The sequence below is a fragment of the Homo sapiens genome, chromosome 7 (genome assembly GCF_000001405.40).
Source record: "Homo sapiens chromosome 7, GRCh38.p14 Primary Assembly".
NCBI lineage: Eukaryota > Metazoa > Chordata > Mammalia > Primates > Hominidae > Homo > Homo sapiens.
In genome coordinates this window covers 159,027,290-159,047,699 of record NC_000007.14, presented here as the reverse complement: position 1 = coordinate 159,047,699, position 20,410 = coordinate 159,027,290, and the positions used below count along the sequence as shown (strand labels likewise).

The 20,410-nt window shown below is 50.9% G+C and overlaps 1 protein-coding gene across 4 annotated transcripts in view, besides 4 other annotated features; it reads left to right on the top strand.

The window, feature by feature from the left end:
- Positions 1 to 19,525, top strand: part of VIPR2 (vasoactive intestinal peptide receptor 2) — a 116,693-nt gene extending 97,168 nt beyond the window's left edge. For 2 of the 4 annotated variants that reach the window (NM_003382.5, NM_001308259.1), the window contains 8 exon segments: positions 4,524 to 4,665; positions 10,798 to 10,948; positions 11,688 to 11,748; positions 13,050 to 13,119; positions 13,396 to 13,487; positions 15,633 to 15,762; positions 15,831 to 15,872; positions 16,911 to 19,525. In NM_003382.5, the coding sequence (NP_003373.2) occupies positions 4,524 to 4,665; positions 10,798 to 10,948; positions 11,688 to 11,748; positions 13,050 to 13,119; positions 13,396 to 13,487; positions 15,633 to 15,762; positions 15,831 to 15,872; positions 16,911 to 17,084 (862 nt within the window). In that variant the 3' untranslated portion in view covers positions 17,085 to 19,525. 4 annotated transcript variants of the gene reach the window in all.
- Positions 7,677 to 8,177: an enhancer, noted in NCBI's record as "H3K4me1 hESC enhancer chr7:158832214-158832714 (GRCh37/hg19 assembly coordinates)". NCBI's record gives its function as "activates a minimal SCP1, AML or CMV promoter by ChIP-STARR-seq in primed H9 embryonic stem cells {active_cell/tissue: H9 hESC(primed)}" and the evidence as "EXISTENCE:reporter gene assay evidence [ECO:0000049][PMID:30033119]".
- Positions 10,328 to 10,622: a silencer, noted in NCBI's record as "tiled region #8832; K562 Repressive non-DNase unmatched - State 20:ReprD". NCBI's record gives its function as "represses a minimal TATA promoter and a strong SV40 promoter by Sharpr-MPRA in K562 cells {active_cell/tissue: K562}" and the evidence as "EXISTENCE:reporter gene assay evidence [ECO:0000049][PMID:27701403]".
- Positions 15,833 to 16,485: an enhancer, noted in NCBI's record as "H3K4me1 hESC enhancer chr7:158823906-158824558 (GRCh37/hg19 assembly coordinates)". NCBI's record gives its function as "activates a minimal SCP1, AML or CMV promoter by ChIP-STARR-seq in naive H9 embryonic stem cells {active_cell/tissue: H9 hESC(naive)}" and the evidence as "EXISTENCE:reporter gene assay evidence [ECO:0000049][PMID:30033119]".
- Positions 18,604 to 19,532: an enhancer, noted in NCBI's record as "H3K27ac-H3K4me1 hESC enhancer chr7:158820859-158821787 (GRCh37/hg19 assembly coordinates)". NCBI's record gives its function as "activates a minimal SCP1, AML or CMV promoter by ChIP-STARR-seq in primed H9 embryonic stem cells {active_cell/tissue: H9 hESC(primed)}" and the evidence as "EXISTENCE:reporter gene assay evidence [ECO:0000049][PMID:30033119]".

Below are 20,410 nucleotides of genomic sequence, written 5' to 3'. Positions count from 1 at the left end.
ATTTTAACAACAACATTCTTGATGGTTTTTCTAGAGTCTACTTCATAAAATGGAACACAAATACTTTCAATAGTATTATACAGTGGAAAGAAGCAATAATGGAAATATCTGTCCCTTGTTTTAAATTCCAAATGAATTGCAATAAATTCAGGGTTTTGACCTTGCAGTAGCTGGAGCAGTGTCTGTCATAATAGAAACTAGTTTTTTCATATATAACCGAATTCTTTGACAAATGGAAACTATGAAAAAATATTTACACCATAATTTCTAATTTTTATAAACAATTGACATTTGTTTATAAATTTGGAATTCTTCTGTAATTAAAGAATTCAAAATATTAATTGTCCAGTGAGTTTCTCTTAACCACACAACTCATCAAAAACCAAAGAAAAGTACTTGCAACTTTTCAAGTTTTAAATTAAAGGATCCTTTATAGTTTTTTTGTTTGTTTGTTTGAGACAAAGTTTCGCTTGTGTTGCCCAGCCTGGAGCGTAATGGCACAATCTCGGCTCCTGGATTCAATCTCAACCTCTGCCTCCTGGGTTCAAGCGATTCTCCTGCCTCAGCCTCCTGAGTAGCTGGGATTACAGGCACCCACCACCAAGCCCGGCTAATTTTTGTATTTTTAGTAGAGACAGGGTTTCACCTTGTTAGTCAGGCTGGTCTTGAACTCCTGACCTCAGGTGATCCACGTGCCTCGGCCTCCCAAAGTACTGGGATTACAGGCATGAGCCACCGCGCCCGGCCCAGGATCTTTAATAATGTTAGAAAGGGCTTTTACTCTGTGGGCAATAGTTTGGCTTAAATGAAAATTTTCACTTTTTGTAAAATATTTTTCTTAGTCTGTTCTTTATATTTCTCTAACAAATGAAATAAAAATTTCTTTTAACATCCTTTTGGACAAAAATTATTTTTCTTTTTTATGCAAGAATCGAAATTGTTTCAGCTGGCCATAATTGTTTAAAAATTTGAGGGGGAGGGTGGATTTCCAAAATTTGTGGTAAAATACCCATAACACAAAATTTACCATTTGAGCCATCTTAAGGTACACAATTCCTTGGCACTAAGCACCTTCACAGTGTTGTGTAACTATCACCATTAGCTAGTTCCCGAACTTCCTATTGTCCCAAAAGGAAGCCTTCTATACATGAGGCAGTCACTCCCCATACCCTCCGGCTCCTGGAAGCTAGAATCTGCCTTCTCCATGGAATTGCCTCCACTGGATGCGTCATACAATATGTGGCCTTTTGTGACTGGTGTCTTTACTTAGCATAATGTTTTCAAGTTCGATCCACGTCAGTACTTCATGCCTCTTTATGGTTGAATAGTATTTAGTTGTATGGATATGCCACATTTAGTTTATCCGTTCATCTGCTCATGGACATTTGAACTGTTTCACCATTTGCCTGTTGTGAATAGAGCTGCCATGAACATTCATGTACACGTTTTGTTTGAAAACTTGTTTCCAACTCTTTGGAGCGTATACCTACAAGTGGAATTCTGGGGCATATTGTAATTCTGTGTTGAGAAACCACCAAACTGCTTTCCACAATGACTGTACCATTTTACATTTCCACTAGCAATATATGAGGGTTCCAGTTTCTTCACACCCATCCAATACTTTTTATTTTGTTTTCTTAATTTATTATTATTATTACTATTGCCATCTAGTGGTATGCAATGAAGTCACATTATGGTTTTATGTGCTTATTGACCATTTGTATATCTTTGGAGAAATAGATAGTTGAGTTTTTGCCCATTTTCTAATTGGGTTTTTGTCATTGAGTTGTAAGAGTTCTTTATATATTTTAGATACTAATCCTTATCAGATATATAATTTGCAGACATTTTCTCCCATTCTGTAGATTTTCTTTGAACTCTCTTAGTAATGTCCTTTAATATGTAAAAGTTTTTAATGTTGATGAAGTCAACTTTATCTGTTGTTTTTTTGCTGTGCTTTTGGTATCATACATAAGAACATAAGAAATCCAACAGAGCCTATTAGACTTGTGGCTGACACCACAAGTACACAGGAAATCCAAAGGTCTTGAATATTTGCTCCTATGTTTTTTCAGAAGAGTTTTATGGTTTTAGCTCTTATGTCTAGGTCATTGATTCATTCTGAGTAATTTTTAATATGCTGTGAGGTAGGGGTCCAGCTGTATTATTTTACATATGGACATCTAGTTGTCACAGCACCATTCGTTAAAAAGACTATTCTTTCCCTATTGAATGTCCTTGGCACCCTTGTCAAAAATCAAATGGCCTTAGATGTGTAGGTTTATTTCTGGACTCTCAGTTCTATACAGTTGATCTATATGCAGTGCCACACTATTTGGTAGTCTGTAGTAAGTTTGAAATTGAGATGATGAGTTCTTCAGCTTTGTTCTGTTTAAGATTGTTTTGGCTGTTCAGGATCCATCATAATTCCACATGACTTCAGGATCATCATTTTGGCACTCCCCCATGCGTGTGCTGGTGCACTTGATGGAATTCCACAAGTCTCTTAGGCTCTTGGGCTCTCTTCATTTTCCTTCATTCTTTGTTTTCTTTCTGCTCCTCAGACTGGATAATTTCATTTGACCTCTCTGCAAGTTCACAGATGATTTCTTTTGCCTGCTCAAACCTAGGCCAGGTGCGGTGGCTCACACCTGTAATCCCAGCACTTTGGGAGGCCAAGGCAGGCGGATCACATACGGTCAGAGGTTTGAGATCAGCCTAGCCAACGTTGCGAAACCCCACCCCATCTCTACTAAAAGTACAAAAATTAGCTGGTCATGGTGGCAGGTGCCTGTAATCCCAGCTATTCAGAAGGCTGAGGTAGGAGAATCACTTGAATCAGGGAGGCAGAAGTTGCAATGAGCCAAGATTGCGCCATTGCACTCCAGCCTGGGTGACAGAATGAGAATTCATCTCCAAAAAAAAAAACCTGCTTTGGCCTACCCCAGTGAATCTTTTAGTTCAATTGTGCATTTCAGCTCCAAAATTTCTACATGGTTACTTTTTCTAATTTCTATCTCTTTTATCAATATTGTCTATGTGTTGAGACATTGTTCTCCTGGTTTCCTTTATTTGTCTATGGTTTTTTGTTTTAGGTTTTTTTTTTTTTGCACTCTTTAAGCATATTTAAGACACTTTATTTAAAGTTGTTGCCTATGACTTTAAGTCAGAAACTTAAGGTAAATCTATTTCATGTGATGCCTCAAGGATAATTTTTGTTGATTCATTTTATTTTTCCTGTAAATGGGCCATATTTTCTTATTATTATTTTTTGCTTTATATTTTTTGTTGAAACTGGGCATTTTGAATATTCTGATGTGATAACTCTGGAATCACAGTCTCCCACTTCTAGGATTTGTTATTTCTTGCTGCCGGTTGTAGCTGTTTATTTAGGGATTTTCTAAACTATTTTTATAAAGACTCTTGGTCTTTATTGGTCGCTGAAGACTCTATACTTTTAGCTCAGTCATCAGCTAGTTGTTTGATAGAGATTTCCACAAACACCTGGAGTCAAAGAGATAAAAAACTGAAAAAAAAAGAAAAAGTGCCCTCTAAAGGCCTTTGTAGGCTGGCTCTGTGTTGGGAGCACTCCTTCAATGCTTAACCAGACTGTCTGCAGCTCTGCCTTAGCTCTCGCTGCCTGCTTGTGCTAAGCCCAAAGAGCAGCCTGAGATAACAGCTTGTGGGATTCTCTGATTCTTTCTGCCCTGAACGTGCACCTGGATTTCTGGGTTCCCCACTTCATGTGAGAGCTTCTTGAAGCCCTTATTCTCCAAGATTCTCACTCCACAGCTTTTCCTCTCAGGCTATCAGAGGACCTGATGTTTGCTTCCCCTGCCAAGTGTCTCCTGAGGTGGCGGGAGCTTATTCATTCAGCTTCCAGCATGTCTGCAAAACCACTTCTCAGCCCGCGGAATCTTAGTCTTTTGCCCAGAACCCACAGAAAGGTCAAAACAAACACAACTCCTTGGGTTTATGAAATTTCTCCAGGACCAAGTACCCACAATAGGAACATGAGCTTCTGTCTTCAAAATGACCACCATGTTGGGGTGGGGTGGAAAAGGGTGAGCTAAAGACAGCATGCCCTCTGCCTATTCAGGGCCTTCCCCCGGCTAAGCGTTCACTTGGTTGGCATAAGCCTTTGAGTATCTTTGTTGTTGTTGTTGTTGTTTCTTGAATGGTCCCTACACCACCATTTTCACTGACCTCCTTTGTTGGGATTTTAACAGTTTTTTAATTGTTGATAGGAAACTTCTTATCAAATTCAGTATGTATTTGCTAAAAACGTTTCTTCATCTCATCTACTTTATTATCTCAAAAAAATTCTTAACAGAGCTTTTTCATTTTTCTCTGCCACAGCAAATTGCAGTTGCCATTCATGGTGAAATCTGCTTCATGCCCTCAACTCTTTTATTTTTCTGTGCTTCTCTGATCATAGTATGAGTTTCTCATCTCTGTCTGGTTCTCTCTCCCTCCCTCCCCTTCCCCCTCCAATTCCTCTCTCTCCCACTCCCCCACCTCAGGAAGCTGCACTGCACCAGGAATTACATCCACCTGAACCTGTTCCTGTCCTTCATCCTGAGAGCCATCTCAGTGCTGGTCAAGGACGACGTTCTCTACTCCAGCTCTGGCACGTTGCACTGCCCTGACCAGCCATCCTCCTGGGTAAGGCTGTCCCCACCACAGGGTCCCACTGTCTTGTCCCTTTATCTCTGTTCCCTCTTCTCACGATGAGGACGTCTCTGTGCTGGTGCAGGGTTCCTGTCAGGGCACAGGGTCATGGCTGAGAAACAGAGAGCCTGGCAGAGAGGCTGGGGCCAGAACAGGCCCAGTTGGCAGCTGAGACATGGGGGTGGCACTGAGGCAGGGAGGGTGGGGTTCCCAGGCATCATCAGGGCTGGGAAGTGAAAGGGCCCTGAGCCCTGACCCCCATGGAGCTAGACTGAGGAAAGGCACACCCTTCCTCACACACATCTGGGTTGAGAAATCTTGGCACAGATGAACACACACAACTCTGTTGCTTTCTGTCTGAATCTCCTAGATTCTGAGCAGTAAAGGCTTCCTTCCAGATTGCTGGAAGAACTTGATCTTGTGCCATGGGTAAATTCCTTGTAAAGCCTGATTGTGAACTCAGTTGCATATCTATGAATATCTGCGTCCAACTCTTTGATTTCAGGATAATCTTAATTATTAGTTCCTACAAATGCAGTACAGGGTGTTTGACTCCACCCACGCCCTTCTCCCTCAGCTGTATTTGTAGTAGTTATTGGTGGTTATATAGTACCTAATCAAGTCAGTTTAACATAGCAGGTGCTGTTGAGCACCTCCTACATGCAGGCCGTTCTACCAAGCACATCCCTGCTGGCCCAGAGCACTCCACATGCTCGGCATCTTTGTGAAGGATTCGTGCCCCTGGTACCTCACTCTCAACCAGAGACCCTTGCTACCAAGGTTCTTCTTAAGGAGCCAGGAGCTCCAGACTCTCCTCCCGCATTCCACGCAGATAGGTCCCTCTGCTGGCACAGTTGCTCAGTCTAAACAGATTTGAATTAACTTAGTTTTAAGATAGTAAAGCCGTTTATAACCACACAGACGTCAGCTTTTTCATAGCCCATCATCGTCTTCATGCAGGAAATGTGCCTCTGGGGATAAGCTGGCGCGTGATGCCTGTGAATCAGATTTGCTGTGATAACAAAATTAAAAACAAGATTTTTCACCTGGCAAGCCCCGTTCCCCAGGTGGAGTTGGGCCCCTGGAGTTCCTGTCCTAGTAATAGGGTCTCCCCACATGTGTAACAGTGGTCAACGCCCATAAGAAGTGTGAGGATGGTGTCGGATTCTCTCTCACCGAGATGGTTTCAGGCTTCACTCTGCAGATCCCCTGCCCTTAGCTCTTCATGAAGAAAGCAGTCACCCTTGACAGACACTTGACAGACCCTCAGAGGACCACTCGGACCCATGGCAGACCCTCAACGGACCCATGACGTCAAAAGCAGTGACCCATGAAAGACCCTCAGGACCCGTTACAGACCCTCAGGACCCATGACGGACCCTCAGGACCCTGACGGACCCTCAACGGACCTGTGATGTAGAAAGCAGTGACCCATGACAGACCCTCAGGACCCATGACAGACCCTCAGGACCCTGACGGACCCTCAATGGACCTGTGATGTAGAAAGCAGTGGCCCATGACAGACCCTTGGGACCCGCGACATGGAAAGCAGTGACCCGCAACAGACCCTTGACAGACCGTTAGGACCCTCGACAGACCCTCAGGACCCTCGACAGACCCTCAGTGGACCCCAGCGGACCCTGGAGGACCTGCAACATGGAAAGTGGTGGCCCTCGGGACTGGGTGCTGGCCTGGAGCAGCAGCTCTCTACTCTCCCCTATTGCTTCAACCTGAAAGGAGTGCCCAGAACCTCCGAGGCAGAGTGGATCTGAGCCAGCGTGGCTGCCCCACCGGGAGGGCCTGGCCTCCCACACACTGCACAGAGCATCCTGTAAATGCCGGGCTGTTTCTGTGGACACTGGGTGAACACTCATTCGCCTTCAGAAGAGCAGTTGCCCCATTTCACAGACGAGGAAACTGGGCAGAGGGGAACCCAGCAACTGGCCCGGAGTCTCGGGATCCAAAGCCCAGGTGCATGTGGGGCCCCACGATGCCCAGCAGCACAGAGCCAGTGCCCCAAGTCAAGCTCTGTGAGGACAGAGGGAGTCGGCTTTGCCCCTTGTGCCAGATGCCCCGTGACTCTAGTACCAGCAAGGGGAAAGCAGAGGCAAAGGGAAAAGCATGTGACAGACAGAGGAGGGAAGGGACAGAGGACAGGAGGGAGGGGAGATGCCTGAGGCCAGAGAGGAGCCAAGCTGGGTCTTCCCTCTCGCTGTCCTCTAAAGAACGCTCAGGCTTTGAATAAACAAGTCAGCCAGAAATAGTCAGACCTCAGTATAAGAAACAGGAAAAATAGCTTTCCTTCCAGTTGAATTTTTTTGTATATTTTTTGTTCCCAGCTGACTTCACCAAACCAAGGTTATTCTCCCAGGCAGAACACCTGGGGCAGCACCCCCAAAATAGGTGCAGGGTCTTTTTCTCATGATATTAGGATCAGCCAAGAAGATGAACAGTTCTCTTCTTGGCCCCTTCCATGCGGCCTAGACAGAGACACAGTTTCCTCTGGGGCCCTGGGCTGTCCCGGGACACGGAGCAAACCTGCCCTTTATTCTCACCATCAGCCACAGCAGGTTCCCCTGCGGGGTCTGTGGGACTCCCAGAAGCACACCCCCAAGCTTACTAAGCTGAGTCCTGCCTGCCTCACGTGCACATGTGTGCGTACTCACGTGCTCACACAGAGGCTCCCCGACAAGGCCACGGGGCTGAGGAGGGACCAGCTGTTGACTGGGCACCGGGCCTTGGTGGGTCTCCTGGCCGGGGTTCCTCACATCAACCCTGTGGGTGGCAACTGGCCCTGGAGTTGGGCCCCTCCTGTGGTGCTCTGGAGCCTGTGTAATGAGGTTTGAAGGTCACACTGTAGAAAATGAAGTCAGTAGAGGCCTTGTCATTCCCCAGACCTCCCTTCCTCAGTGTGCTTGTTTGGTGAATGGGCACATGGGAAAAAATGCAGAGATGTTTTTGTTCCCATTTAAGAAGAAAATGGAATCGTCTTCAGCACACTCTTCCTGCGTCCTCTTTGCTCCTTCAGCAGAATGTGCCAGGGCCCCACCAGGTCGGCGCCTGCTTTCAGGCGGCACACGGTCCCTCATGTGGCATGGTGTTCTCCGCGTAGCCCATCCTCTGGTATGGGGCCTGCTCTGCACTTTATTTTTCTCTTTTGCCGCTGCAGGCATCACCGGACATGCGTCTTTATGGACTGGTGTTCTTATTTCTGTCAGGTGGAACTCGCCAGTGAGGTTGCCAGGTCAGAGGGTGTCTCCATCCACGTGTGCTCCTGTCGCAGACATTTACTTCTCAGTTCTGGAGGCCTGAGACCGAGGCACCACCAGATTCGGGTCTGACTTCTCTGTGTCCTCACGTGGTGGAAGGGGCGAGGGATGTTGCTGGGGTCCCTTTACAGGGGCACTAATCCCATCGCAAAGCGCCACCCACTAACACCCTCCCACAGCGGGTGGGGCTTCAACATGTGAATTCTGGCAGCATAAAGAAGCCTCCAGCCCATTGCAAAGGGCATGCATATTTTTATTTTTTGTTTTGTTTTGTTTTGTTTTTTGACACAGACTCACTCTGTTTTCCAGGCTGGAGTGCAGTGGCAGGATCTCGGCTCACTGCAACCTCCACCTCCCAGGTTCAGGCGATTCTCATGTCTCAGCCTTCTGAGTAGCTGGGATCACAGGCAGGTGTCACCACACCCAGCTAATTTTGTGTGTGTGTGTGTGTGTGTGTATTTTTAGTAGAGATGGGGTTTCACTATGTTGGCCAGGCTGGTCTCGAACCCCTGACCTCAAGTGATCCCCCCGCCTTGGCCTCCCAAAGTGCTGGGATTACAGGTGTGAGCCACTGCACCCGGCTGCATGTGTATTTTTAAATTGTAGTAAATCTGTTTTGCTAGATTGCCTTCCAAAAGGCTGAGACAGCTGACAGCTGCACGTGGGATCACACCAGAGCCCAAAGACCTGACTGGTTTTACCATTTTGCCTGTCTGGTGGGCGTTGGCACTGCCTCTGTGGCTCTCATGCACACTCCAGGGCAGCGCACCTGCTGAGAACTGGCATCTTTCCACAAGCTGTTCCGGCCCTCTAAAACACCGCATTCATCTGTAATATTGGCGTCATAAAAATTAAACATTTGTCATTTCTATTGTAAATATGTTTCCAGATTCATGATTTGTCAATTGTATTTTTATGGTATTTTTACCATCTAAAAGCTTTTAAAGTTTATATAACCAAAATTGCTTTCCATCCTTTTAGCACTTCTTGTTTTCATTTCAGATTTCCCGTCTTGGTTAAGAGGTTTCTATTCTGAGATTGTTCATTTGTGTCTTGGTTCATCTGCAGTTTACTCCTTGTGTTTAAGATGCGGTCTTTTACCGAGAGACAAAAGAAGGCACGTTGCATCCCGATGGGTGACTAACTCCCAGAATCTCACCTCCCAGAGATTTTAAAACTTGATTTATTTCACTTTACTTTTCAAATGAGTGGCAGTAAGTCACAAATTGACTTACTGTGACTCTCCTGCATCCATGGCTGTGTTATCATGTGTGTCTTTCCACATAAGAGGCTCTGTCCTGATGCCCAGGGCAGAACTTGCTGGGATCTGAGTGTCCATTCACCAGGCGTTGACACACGAGATCCGCGTGCAGGCACTCGCCTTACTCTGGTGGCAAAGATGGACAATAAGGGTAACTCTCACCTGTGCAGTGTCTCAGAAAATGAAGCACCCACCCTGCTATGCTTGGGAAAAAGGAAAAGCAGAGGAAGGCAAGGCAGATCCAGAGCACTGGGGAGGTCGGGGCCGCCTGCAGGGCTCAGGGGAGGTCGGGGCAGCCTGCAGGGCTCAGGGGAGGCCAGGGACAGCCTGCAGGGCTCAGCGGCTCTCAGGACCCCGGAGGCCAAATTGAAAGGCCACCATATGAAAGTATATCCACCCATATATAAGTGTATCCACCCATATATATAAGTATACCCACCCATATATAAAAAAGTATATTCACCCGTATATATTTATAGGGATAGCCATCTGTTATATGTAGGTAGTATATCCACCCATACATATGTAAGTATATCCACCCACAAATATGTATAGGTGTATCCATCTGATATATGTATCAGATATATATCTGCCATACGTATGTACACCCACCTACATATGTCTATAGATATGAACATAAATACAGAAATAAGAATGGAAATGAAAATACTATTCTTTTTCAGCACACTTTATATAAGCTTAGTGATTAAAAGTAGCAGTTTCATGGTTGCTCATGAAGCTGAAATGCCTGGTACATTTAGTTAGATGAAGGTCTGAGAGATTAAAATAGATGGATTTTATATAATAATGCAATTCTTTCCCAGTGAAAATCCTTTTAAAATGTCCTCAGAAAATATTTTATTTGCTAGATTTCTCTTGTTTTCCCCTTTATTTTTTCATGTTTAGTTAAGTTACCCAATATTAAAACCAGTTTTTTACAATTGAGGAACTTACATAGTTGTCAAAAATTTAAAAAAAAAGTCTGGGGCCTGGTGTGGGTCCACTGCTTTCTCTTCCCAGGCGCTGCTCACCTGAGCTGCTAGTGAGGGCAGCTGGCATGTGCCGCGCCCTCTACCTGCACTCGTGTTCTGTTCACACAAAGGGACAGAGGCCAGAGCCCTGGGCCCCTGCAGGGCCCCTGCCACCCATACCTCGCCCCACACATGACCTCCTGCCGGCTCTTCTGGTTCTTTGCTGGCCGGCAGGACCACTGCGGGGGTTCCCGTGTTGAAGCAGGTCAGAGAAGGGGAAGTGGAGTAGCCGAGGGGAGGAGCTGAGAACGGGAGGGCCAGGGAGCTGTGCGGCCTGTCTAGGACCCTCCAGCAGTGAGTGCGCTCACCTCAGGCAGTGCTGTTCACAGTTGCGTTTGCAGTGATCCTCCTCTGGAGCCGCGGATACAAAGGTCCCAGTGCCACCAGCAGGCATTCCTGGCCAGCGCCCTGGCCTCTGTGTTAATCACTTTCCTTCCCAATGGCACCGGTGTCTCCTTCCTTGCACAGATACCAAGCGCCCTGTGTCCTGGAGCGGCACTGCCTGCTGGTAGCTGCTGTTACCGGATGAGGTCATGCTTTCCTCTCCTCTGTTTGCGGTTTCCAGGTGGGCTGCAAGCTGAGCCTGGTCTTCCTGCAGTACTGCATCATGGCCAACTTCTTCTGGCTGCTGGTGGAGGGGCTCTACCTCCACACCCTCCTGGTGGCCATGCTCCCCCCTAGAAGGTGCTTCCTGGCCTACCTCCTGATCGGATGGGGTAAGTGTGCCCCTTCCCACCCACAAACCCTCCATCCCATCCCATCGGACCAAACAACGCAAACATTTTCAGCTCAGAAAACACTTTGCCGCCCCCGTAGAATGCATGTCAGGGTCATATCATGAAGAGCTCTTCCAGGATGACTGGAGGCTCCTACAAACAACACATTAATATTTCTGGTAACCAGGAACCTAGTTTAAAATACTCCCATTCCTGGCCCCTTGTACCCCCATTCAAACTGGGCTGTTAACAAGTAACAAAACGGTTTCCTCCTCCGCCTCTACCCACTTCACCTTTCACTGAGGGTGGGGATCAGAGAGGAGAGGCACACCAGGTAGCGGAAGCCTTGCCTTGCCCAGGGTTGGAAAGGGGTGCAAATTTGGGACATCCTCATGGACAGGATGAGGCAAACGTAGCCGATAGCTCCGTGGGTGGTCGCAAAAATCAGTGAACACATCTCCTTCTCCGCACGTTCAACTCCATGGCCTCCAGTAATAACCCTTCTCATGAGGAATGGCAAGTCTCAGATTCTCAGCTCTCAAGCGTGTGTTTAATTATCTTCACTGCTTACTAAGGCATGAGCATAAACTTGTAAATATTTACAAAGACTTTAAACAAGAGATTGCACTTAATATTCCCGTGAGAAAGCGTGTCCTTGAGGGTTTTGCTGGTGAAGGCACCCACCTGTGTGCGTGCACACCGCTCCGCTCCACCTGTGTAACCAGGCGTCTCTCTGCAGGCCTCCCCACCGTCTGCATCGGTGCATGGACTGCGGCCAGGCTCTACTTAGAAGACACCGGGTGAGTCCATGACCAGACTGCAACCTCGAAAACGGGCCCGGCAACATCTGGCAACATGAAGTCCTTTGGAAGCCAGAAGGTTACCTGGTTGGAAGGACAGGGAGCGTTTGCGGCCAACCGACAGCCACGCAGGAAGCATCTGGGCGATTCATGGGGAGAAATCCTGTGAGGTTGGAGTGTTGGAGGAAGCCCCGTGCAGGAGACAGGAAGTGAGCCAGGTTTTGCAGCATAGTTGAGATTGGGATAAGCCAGGCAGAGACTGGGGCAGCCCCTGCGGTGGGCACAGCGATGTCCACAGAAGAAAGCCAAGTGCCCTGCATGTTGTTTACCCGGAGCAAAGTGGAAGGTCAGGTGATGGTGGCTGCAGGGCCCCCCGGCACTTCCTAAGCACTGGTCTTGGCTCATGCGGCCCAGAGCGCTTTTCCACTATGCTCTCCCTGAGCGAGACCACGGCCCAGACATGAGCACGCGTGGTTCCAGCACAAATATCTTGCCTTTTAAAGGGCCTCAGTGTGCATCAGTTACCCACTGCTAAGTAACAAATCACTCCAAAATTTGGTGGTTTAAAACACCCACCGTCTAGTTACGGTGTGATTCTGCACCTGATGACCTGGGAGGACTCAGCAGCTTTGAGGACTGGTTCCCCTTGGTCCCCTTCAGCCAGTCTGAGACTGCACCAGCCTGAAGGCTCCTGCCCTCGGCCCCCGAGGGAAAGCATGGACCCAAGCCTGCAATGGAGATTCTGCTTTATGGGAGGGCTGCAGACTTCCAGCGCAGGGTGTGGACCCTGGGGAGAATCACTGAGGCGTTTTACAAGCCAGGGGTCACAGCTTCCTGCTGGAGACACCCCATGCGCTGAAAATCAAAACAAAATGCTATGAGCTGGAGAGCTGGTGGCTCTAAGGACGTTTTAAACCCTTTGCCATATACATGCAAACCATTCGGGAGGTGAGGGGAAGCTAATTTTCAGGAGGAAGGTTCTTTTCTCCTGATTTCAGCTGAATGGGGCTGACACACGTTCATGCTCAGAGTGGAGGGCGTCAGCAGCCCTCCTGCCCTTGTCCTGGCTTCTGGGGCCGCACCTCCATTCCTCCTCCCCACAAGCCGACTATTGTTTTGAAAGCATGAAACAAAACACAATCACTCCCTGGGACAGATTCCTTTACGATCTGTCAGTGCAGAGAAATTGTGCTTCCACGGTGAGGGGAGTGGGCAAGTTGGGAGGGGCAGGCGCTCATTCTTCTGTACCTGTCTTGCGAAAGTGGTTGGTGGTAACCTGATTTCCCATCTCTCTCTGACAGTTGCTGGGATACAAACGACCACAGTGTGCCCTGGTGGGTCATACGAATACCGATTTTAATTTCCATCATCGTAAGTAGTCCCTGTTGACATGTGGATTATCTGTGGAATCACACACTTGGGCAGACAGCAAGCCTGCCATCCTTTATTAAATAGAACTGACCCCATTCCACGCATCACTCAGCCTTCCCGGAAAAGGACCTCTTCAGGCATGTGGACCCCCAGAGGCAGTTCCCAGGGAAGGAGGGAGGGACTGAGGGAGCGGAGGGGAGGGTCGAAATCAGGTGGACTTCAGGGCAAATTAGGGATCCACGTGTCTGTTTCACAAACTTATTATCTCTTGTGCAGGTCAATTTTGTCCTTTTCATTAGTATTATACGAATTTTGCTGCAGAAGTTAACATCCCCAGATGTCGGCGGCAACGACCAGTCTCAGTACAAGTGAGTGTGTGTCCCGGCCTGGCCGTCCCTGATGGGGATGCCGTGTGGAGACAGGAGACCCCCACGCTGCCAGGAAGGCCCTGGAGGTGCGGCGACTCCGCCTCCGCCACTGTCACACCTCGAGGCTGGGCCCCAGGGCTCTGCTCCTGCCCAAGGCTCAGAGAGGCCCTGGACAGCATTTCCCTGGCGAAGTAACAAATCACTCCAAAATTTGGTGGTTTAAAACACCCGCCATCTAGATAGGGTGTGATTCTGCACCTGATGACCTGGGAGGACTCAGCAGGGGCACTTCTGGCCTTGGCAACTGTGGAAGTCAGGCACCATTTCTTTTATTTCAAGGCCAGAAGAAAGTCCTCTCCAGTGAACTTGCTTGTTTAAGCATCCGCCCACTTACATGTTATACAGCCTGTCTTTTTCTCCTTGACCACACAGTATTTTTTATTTTACATTTAATTCTGTCTCCCCCTCAGACATGGCCATGTGTCCATGGCCGTGTGTCTACTGCCAGCCCTAATACCAGGCCTTGTACTTAATAAAAATTCAGAAAGCGTTTCCTGCCCACGTGATTACATGAAGATGGCATTGTGATCTCCCTTCAGTAGATGAAGACAGGGCAGACGTTCAGCCAGTCACCCCCAGTCATCCAGCTAATTCATGATGATCCGGGGAATCTATAAAGTAATGCAAAGACTCCATAAATTTATATCAAGAATTTATTTTTTTTTAAAAAGGTAAAAACCAAAATTCAAGTATAAACTAAACACTGGCTTGGTGTGGAAGTGGTTGGCCCAGCCCAGAAGGTGCCTCGGGCTCAGACTGACCGGGGGTGGAAGGGCGGCTGTGCACAGAGCTGTACCATGGCAGGAACCCTGCCGCCCAGCCTAGGAGGGTGCCTGGCCTGCATTTCCCTTTTCTCCCACCTTAGAAAACAGGGATGGATTTGGGGAGGGGCGGTTAGACAGGAGCATGGCCAACAGCCCCAAAGCTGGGTGCAGATACCGGCCAGTGCCCTGAGGGAAGTCACTTTGCCACTCCATGCCTCAGCTTCCCCATCTGTAACATGGAAGTAATAATGTCACTAAGGTCAGGAGGATCAATGCAGTCTATATTTGCCGGATATTTGCTGCCTGGCACCAGAGTATTGCAAAAGAGTCTGGTAAACCAGAGAATCTAATTCTGCTGTGTAGTGTCTAAATCCAGGGAGTATCCCGTCTCTGCTTGCCCACACGAGGGATGGGATTCCATGTCAGACCCCGCATGGCAGCATGACCTTGTCCCTGCTCAGGGGAGTCCGGTGGTGCCTGTGTGGCAGAGACCCCCGAATAAGATCGTTCTTGGTTGCCTTTCAGGTTGAACTTGGATTTCCTGTGAATCTTGTTTAGTTTCTATGCTGACCTTTGCATTGGTTCTTTGGGAGTGTTTGTTAAATTGAACTTGGAGATGGATGCTTTTATTTGGAAACAAAATCTGTTCCCTTTCCAGGACAACAGAAAAGGCCGAGACACCCTTGAGGCCACACGAGGTCCTTTCTGTGTAACTCTGGTCACAGAAGTAGCAAAACCTCCCTGGATAGGGGCCAAGAGCTCAGCCGCAGATAGGCCTCTTTTCCAGCAAACTTCAGATGCGTTAATAGAGGGAATCAGGCAGGTCCTCTGCCGCTGACTGAGGGACCTGGCTCCCACGGAGCCCAGCTGTTACGAGCTGCAGGTCCGGGAGCAGGATCGGTTCTCATCATTTAAACCTGCGTGTGGCAGCGGTGGAGGCCAGCCTTCTTGTCCCATGCCTGCCTCAGGATGGGCCGGGCTCCCAGGCGGGGCCTGTGTAGGTTTGGGGTCACTCACAGGGAATCTTGCCCCTGCCAGCCATGAACCCCAGGACACAGCGTGTGTCCTTGTGAGGGAATTTGGGAGAAACGGACACTTCCGGAATGCACGTTCCCAGGCCCTGAGTGCTAGATATGCACAGGGGCCTCAGACATAAACGTAAAGAAACAGTGGTTTTTCTTGTTGGGCGGGGACTCCAGCAGTGGAGAGGAGGTGTGGAGCCCCTCCCACACCCAGCTGCCCCCTCCTGAGAAGGACCCAGCCAGGCTTGCAGAGGGTCCGAGGGTCCAGCAGCTGAGCTGGCTCATCTCCTTCTGTGCAGGAGGCTGGCCAAGTCCACGCTCCTGCTTATCCCGCTGTTCGGCGTCCACTACATGGTGTTTGCCGTGTTTCCCATCAGCATCTCCTCCAAATACCAGATACTGTTTGAGCTGTGCCTCGGGTCGTTCCAGGTAGGTGTGCGGAGGCGGCCGCCCTCCCCCGAGCGCGGGTCCTGCCTGACCATCTCTTCTCATTGCAGGGCCTGGTGGTGGCCGTCCTCTACTGTTTCCTGAACAGTGAGGTAAGTTCATGGCCGCCTTGGAACCAAGCACAGGTACTCACTTGCTTCCTGAGATGCTGCCCAGCCTGGTGCCGCAGCCCCCACACATGCCTGTCTTCCGCGGGCTCGAGTTACTGCCCGGGACCCCACAGTTCTGTGTCCCCATCAGAGAACCCACAACGACACAGGCAAACCCACTCTTCTGGGCCCAGCTTCCAAACCCCGCCGTCCTTCCGTCCACCCTAAGTAGCATCGACTGCCGTCCGTCTCGGAGCCCTCTCGGGAAAGCTCCCGGCCGGGTCTAGACAGAATCTGTTTTTCCCCATGGTCGGCGTCTCGCTCCTGACCATAGCTTGTGAGTCCCAGAAAGCCGGGCCTGGGTTGGGGGGTGGGGCTGCACAGCGTCCTGTGAGTCCCTGGGGAGGAAGCCCGGAGCCGAGCTCTGCCCTGCGTTCATTCCCAGCCAGGGAGGCTGTCTCCGGGCTGCTCCAACGGCCTGGCCCCGTCCCCTGACCCCTGACCCTCCCGCCCCACGCTGCGGTTGCTGGCGCTTTCTTTGCTTGACATGCAGCTTTCACCAGCACGGCTTCTGCAAAGCTGAGCCCGAGTAGTGCCACTTGTCCTCCTCCCTCCTCTGCCGTCCGGGCACCCCTCACTCATCCCCACCCCCTCCCAGGGCTAACATTCCCTGCCCGCTGGGAACAGGGAAGGAGACGGAGGCCCAGCACCGTCACAACCCCGGCTGCTAAGGAAAATCTTTTCAGAGAAATATTAACTATCTGAGACTGTGGGACTGCGCTTACCGCGGCAGTGGCGATCCCCGAACCACCCACGCACAGTCTTAGAGTCTGGCAGCGTCCCCCGCCCTCCTGTGGCCGTCCAGTTCCCGCTCCCTCCAGCCTCTGCCCCCAAGGCCGTTTCTGTTTCTGTCCATCTGCTGGCAACACAGATACGGGAGCAGGCGGGAGGGAGAGCTGGAGGCTCGCGGGCCGCGCTTCCCATAGCAGCCGCCCGCACCTGCCCAGGCTCACGGGCGTTCCCGCTGCCCTCACCTCCCAGGTGCAGTGCGAGCTGAAGCGAAAATGGCGAAGCCGGTGCCCGACCCCGTCCGCGAGCCGGGATTACAGGGTCTGCGGTTCCTCCTTCTCCCGCAACGGCTCGGAGGGCGCCCTGCAGTTCCACCGCGGCTCCCGCGCCCAGTCCTTCCTGCAAACGGAGACCTCGGTCATCTAGCCCCACCCCTGCCTGTCGGACGCGGCGGGAGGCCCACGGTTCGGGGCTTCTGCGGGGCTGAGACGCCGGCTTCCTCCTTCCAGATGCCCGAGCACCGTGTCGGGCAGGTCAGCGCGGTCCTGACTCCGTCAAGCTGGTTGTCCACTAAACCCCATACCTGGAATTGGAGTCGTGTTGTCATTGACTCGATTTAAACTCCAGCATTTAGATAATCTTGTGCAAAATGTGTTTCAGCCGTATAGTGGATCCACTTTTTTTTTTTTTTTTTTTTTTGAGACGGAGTCTCGCTCTGTCGCCCAGGCTGGACTGCAGTGGCCTGATCTCTGCTCCCTGCAAGCTCCGCCTCCCGGGTTCACGCCATTCTCCTGCCTCAGCCTCCCATAGCTGGGACTACAGGCGCCCGCCAACACGCCTGGCTAATTTTTTGTATTTTTAGTAGAGACAGGGTTTCACCATGTTAGCCAGGATGGTCTCGATCTCCTGACCTCGTGATGGGCCCGCCTCGGCCTCCCAAAGTGCTGGGATTAAGGCGTGAGCCACTGCGCCCGGCCCAAGAGAATAGGGGAGCCAAGGAGGAAATGTGGAAACGCAGTTGTGTGGCCCAGCACGAGCCTGGGCGACCACCGGGTGACATCCGTCCCACATCAGGGCGGCCTCCCAGGTCCCATAAGGGTAGCCCCCTCATCTGCAGGACAGAGGGAAGCCAGTCAGGGCCCCCCTGACGTTAGGACCAGGAGAAATCAACAGGAGGGCAGCCCGTCCTCTCTCTTGGGGCGCCCACCCGGCCCGGCTGAGCCCTGCCCCACCCAACTCCACAGGGCTGTTTTGCCTCCCCACGGAAGGCGGGCTGAGGAGACAACCAGATCAGGAGAGCAAGGTCATGAAGGAGGGGACCTCTCCACACAGGTGTTCCGTGGGACCCTCAGCAGCTCTGGCTCTGCCTCAGGAGGTCACCTGCCGCCCTGTGGGAGCCGCAGAGCCTGACGCTCAGCCCCAGGCCAGCTGCGGCCAGGCCTGCGGGCCCCTGGTGATGGGGTTACGTGGGGTGCGGGATACAGCTGAGTGGGAACCGGAAACCTATTCTCTTTTTAACAAAAATAATCTTAGGATAAGAATTATTTTAACAACATATAAAACTGTTTCAAGCCCTCCTCCCCAGAGCTGGCGCTCAGCAGCCCTAGCGGCTGCTCCTTCAGGCGAAGGGTGGTTTGCAGATGTGGGGAGGGTGTCTGGGGACGTTGCTGAGCCAGCTGCAGAAGGGTGGGGATATCAGGGCACAGTCTCCATGTGTGTGCCAAGCCCTGGCCCCCACAGCGCTCGATGGACCTCAGCAAGCTGCCCAGCCCTGGCCCAGGTGCCCCGACTGTGGGACTCAGTTGTTCTGAGCACATTTGACTCCACTTTTCCCTTAAAAATGAATGTCTTGTTCCTGTGCATTGGTGGCATCACAGACCCCAGCTGGGGCGCGATGTCAAAGGTCGGGACAGCTGTGCCGGGAGGCAGCCACAGGGAAGCTCACACATCCTGTCAGTGTCACCTTGGTTTGCAAAACCCATATCCCCGGTAAAATGAGGCCGGACAGAGGGGCTGTTAGGACAGCAAAGCAGCAGTGTCCAGAGACCCCTCAATCCCCAAAGGTCCGCACCCTGTCCTGCACACCCTGGGCCACGCCGGCCACACCCCTCTGCTGCAACAAGCTCATCCCTGGACTTCTGGGAGAATGAACCCGAGGTTGGTTTGGGGAGACAGGTGAGGCGGTCGGATCTACAGAACAACCCACCATTTCTGGGGGCCGCAGAGGATCCATCACAGACGGATACTGGGGAGTAAACGGCCCAGGCCAGGTGCCCAGGAAAGGACGGCTGAGCATGTGGAGCGAGAGGGAGGCAGGTGGACGCTGCAGACCCCAGGTTCAGTGCGGCCCCTCGGCTGTTCCTCCCCTGTAGGGTTTGGACAGACCCACCCCCAGCCTTGCCCAGCTTTCAAAGGACAAAAGGGAGCATCCCCCACCTACTCTCAGGTTTTTGAGGAAACAAAGATTTGTGGTAACTGAAGGTGTTGGGTCAGTGGCCAGGTGCCGACACTGAGCTGTGACCCAGAGGGGACGCTGAGGAAGTGGGCGTGAGTGGACGTGTCAGGTGGTTACCAGGCACTGGTTGTTGATGGTCGGTGGTTGGGTGTGGGCAGTCATCAGTCATCAGGTGTGCTCAGGGGACAATCTCCCCTCAACCGCACATGTGCCACTGTTCAGCGGAGCTGACTGGTTTCTCCTGGTAGAGGGGCCGGCTGTTTCCTGACAGATGCCTGGTGAGCAGGGGAAGCAGGACCCAGTGGTCAGCAGGTGTCTTTAACTGTCATTGTGTGTGGAATGTCGCAGACTCCTCCACGTGGCGGGAATGAGCTGTGTAAATACTTCAATAAAGCCTGACTTCACATCTGCATGCTGAGTAAGAACTTGCTCTGACCAGATCTGAGGCTCTGGAGCATGGAGGACACACTTGGCGTGTTAGTCGTGGCTGCTGCATTCAGATGAAAACAGAGCTTGGACGGGGAGGGAGAGGGTGGGCAGGGTCCTGCCAGCCACAGGGCACCAGGGAGGACATTGGAAACAGCCACCTCTCCCTGAGGAGAGTCACGGACCCCTGTCAGAGCGTCGCCATTGGGGAGCCTCCGTCTGGCAGCTGTGACGCATGAGCAGTGCCCTGTGGAGGAGGCGCCTGCACGCCCAGCCTTGTCCTGCCGCACCCAACACGGCCTCTGTCAGCTCTGCAGAGCCCAAGAACCTGTTAATAGAGCAGGACTGAGTGCAGGAGTGTGTGTGTGCACGCGCGTTCATGTGATGCACATGCGTGTGTGGGTGTGTGCGTGGGGCGTGTGCACACATATGCGAATCTCCGTGTGTGCTGAGCCTTAGCCACATGTATGCTACAAGCAAATAAAATGCATTTCCAATGAACTCCACGCTCCACCAGATGGCTGTGTTGTCAGGAGGGATACAGCACGCTGGTAAAAGCCACATTCCTAAGGAGTCAAACCTAGAATGAGCCACACCAACCAGCCTTTGGTGACTTTCCTAAGAGCAAAGCAGGTGGGAAGGGGGAGAAGGGGCTGGGCACACAGCCCTCCAGGGAGTCACTGTTTTGTCTGACTCAGGAGCTTAGTGTCCATTTGCCTGAGGTGGGAAATATTCAGCCGCCTGAGGAGACTCAGCCCTGATGGGAGGCAGAAGGTGCAGGGCCGGGGGCCGATCTGCAGAAGCCCCTCCTCCACCCGTGGCAATAGCTTCGTTCTTTCTCATCACCAATGGCAGCTTTTTAATTGGCTAT